Genomic DNA, 2,716 nt, shown 5'->3' with positions numbered 1-2,716 from the left:
CCAGGGCCTGGGGGGAGGGAAGAATGGGGAGTTATTGTTTAATGGGTACAGAGCTTTAATTTTATAAGAAGAAAAGAGATATGGAGATGGATGGTAGAGATGGCTACACAACGTTATGAAGGTATTTAATACCTTCTTGTTTTTGGGGCTTTTTAATGTTGGACCCACGTAATGATCACTAATGCAGTACTCAAGTGGAAGAAAGTACAAAATAAAACACACAGACACACACACACACAATCTAAGAGTGAAAAATAAATTCTTATTTCCCCTTCTTTTTTGTTTTTTTTAGACATTCTACATTTTTCCACTTATAACCAAAAACCCTTTAGACCTTCTAGTAAGATAAAGCTAAAACTGTAAAACATTAGTAGGTAGTTTACCCAAATAAGTTCAAGATTATAAGCAAAAATGTCAGCCATTTTCACCCCCTTACAGAGGCTGATTTATTTCCATTTGTCTCAATGCTAAATAATGTAGCATTTGTCCAATTGTCATTAAAAGCTGTATGCCCTCAAGAAGCAACATCTTGGGCCTTTCTGGGTACAGACCAAGTTTCCACTGCAGTAAACGCTTAAAGGAGCACCAGTTCCAATGCTAGCACTGTCCTGGTGGAGGCTCTCCCACCTCCGGCTGCGATGCTTCATCACTGTTTGTGTAGGTCTCGGCACAGATGAAGGCAAGGGTCGCAGGTCCAAGGTCAGCTCGCATGGCATTGCGGGCAGGGGAGAGGAGGCCCTAGAGGGAAATATTGAAATCATCAGATACAGAAAGTGGAAGGAAACTTAGTGTTTCTTTTTTTTTTTAAACTTTCATTCTAGGTATGGGGTACATGTGCAGCCTTGTTATATAGGTAAACTCATGTCATGGAGGTTTGTTGTACAGATTATTTTGTCACCCAGGTACTAAGTCTCGTACCCAATAGTTTTTTTTTCTGCTCCTCTCCCTCCTCCCACCTTCCACCCTCAAGGAAATCCCGGAGTCTGTTGTTTCCTTCTTTGTGAACATGGAAACTTAGTGTTTCTTTACAGAAACCCTTAGGTTACCTTTCGGTTTCTGTAATGAGGTAGGAGAGGCTAAACTGACTTTTTAAGTCATTAGGTTCCTGTTTCCAGTCCACTAGTTTTTCTCCCACCCTATTCAGCCTCACTAAATATGTGCTAATCTATCTCATTTGCGGATTTGTATATTTATTATTTATTTTTCAATGATTATCCTCCCATATATGAGTATTTTGAAAGCATTTTTATTGAGAGGTATGTCATATGGTGTAAAATCCACCACGTTAAAGTGTACACTTCAGTGGGTTTTAGAACATTCACTATATTGTACAACTATTACCACTTTCTAATTCCAGAACATTTTCTTCACTCCAAAAAGAAACCAGTATGCTAAGTGAAATAAGCCAGCCACAAAAGGATAAATATATACCGTAGGATTCTCCTTATATGAGGGGAGTTGTCAAAGTCAGTGAGACAGAAAGTTGAATTGTGGTTGCCAGGGGCTGTGGGGAGGGAAGAATGGGGAGTTACTGTTTAATGGACACAGAATTTCAATTTCTAAGAAGAAAAGAGACACGGAGATGGCAGGTGGAGATGGCTACATACATTATAAAGGTATTTAATACCACTGAAGTGTCTACTTAAATGGTTAAGTTAGTAAATTGTATGTTATGTGTATTTTACCACAATAAAAATAATTTTGGTAAATACCACAATGAAAAAAATTGGGAAAGGAATCCCTGTAGGTACCTTGTAAATAGTAAAATATTATTGAATCATTTTTGCTAATAGTTTTCATTTGTTAAATGTAAACATTCAAAATACACCAAGTATTAAGAAAAAAAAAGGAGCCCATAGCTATTAGCAGTTATTCTCCATTCTCACCTTCCTCCAGTTCCTGGCAGCCACTAATCCACTTTCTGTTAGATCTCCTTACTGAGGACATTTCATACAAATGGTATCATACAATAACATGACCTTGTGTGTCTGGCTTCTATCACTTAGCATAGTGTTTTCAACATTCATCCATATTGTAGCATATATCAGTACTTCATCCCCTTTTATGGTGACATATGTGGGCTTTTTAAAGTAGATTCCAGGCTGAGAGATAAGAGTCTTTCCCTCCTAAGGTTTCCTCCTGGAAGTAGAGCTTAGGCATATCTGAGCTGGGGAGCACACAGGTCTAGGAGGCTTCATTGTACGAACTCACCACGTGGCCCAAATGTTTTGCCCCGTACAGGCTCCCTTTTCCCTCTTTAGTGGGAGAGGCCCCATAACAGGGGGCCCTGCTTTCAGACTCAGCTGGGATACTATGACCCCTGGTCAGGTCTTTAATAGTGATATAACTCAGAGATGTCATGGTACCAGTGGCCACTCTGTAACTGGTGCTTTTGCTTAAATATAAACACGTATCACAGAGGAGAAATTCTGCTAGACATTCTGCTAATTGCAACTGAATGTAGCCTGTGATAACCAAACCCACTCTTCTGAAGCACGGTTCACTTTGGAGCATACCCTGTTGCACATGCCGCTTGGAATCAGAGGTAAACCAGACCCATTTAAGCTATGGCTAAATATAATGTGCTGCCTTGCTGCAGAGCCTGGGGAAGCCTGGCGGTGGGTCATGTGGGGAGGGTGGGCCACTGCTCTATTTCAGCAGGAAGTTGCTGTGCTTTCCTTGTTTTATAAAATGTCCCCAAATATGGAGGCTTTAT

The 2,716-nt window shown here is 40.2% G+C and overlaps 2 annotated features.

Moving 5' to 3' along the window:
- Nucleotides 623-742: an enhancer, noted in NCBI's record as "active region_27694". NCBI's record gives its function as "activates an Ori minimal core promoter by ATAC-STARR-seq in GM12878 lymphoblastoid cells {active_cell/tissue: GM12878}" and the evidence as "EXISTENCE:reporter gene assay evidence [ECO:0000049][PMID:35858748]".
- Nucleotides 1,163-1,212: an enhancer, noted in NCBI's record as "active region_27693". NCBI's record gives its function as "activates an Ori minimal core promoter by ATAC-STARR-seq in GM12878 lymphoblastoid cells {active_cell/tissue: GM12878}" and the evidence as "EXISTENCE:reporter gene assay evidence [ECO:0000049][PMID:35858748]".

The sequence above is a fragment of the Homo sapiens genome, chromosome 8, assembly GCF_000001405.40.
Source record: "Homo sapiens chromosome 8, GRCh38.p14 Primary Assembly".
NCBI classification, from domain to species: Eukaryota; Metazoa; Chordata; class Mammalia; order Primates; family Hominidae; genus Homo; species Homo sapiens.
The sequence above is the reverse complement of the archived record's forward strand: the minus strand, read 5'-3'. Positions and strand labels throughout refer to the sequence as shown.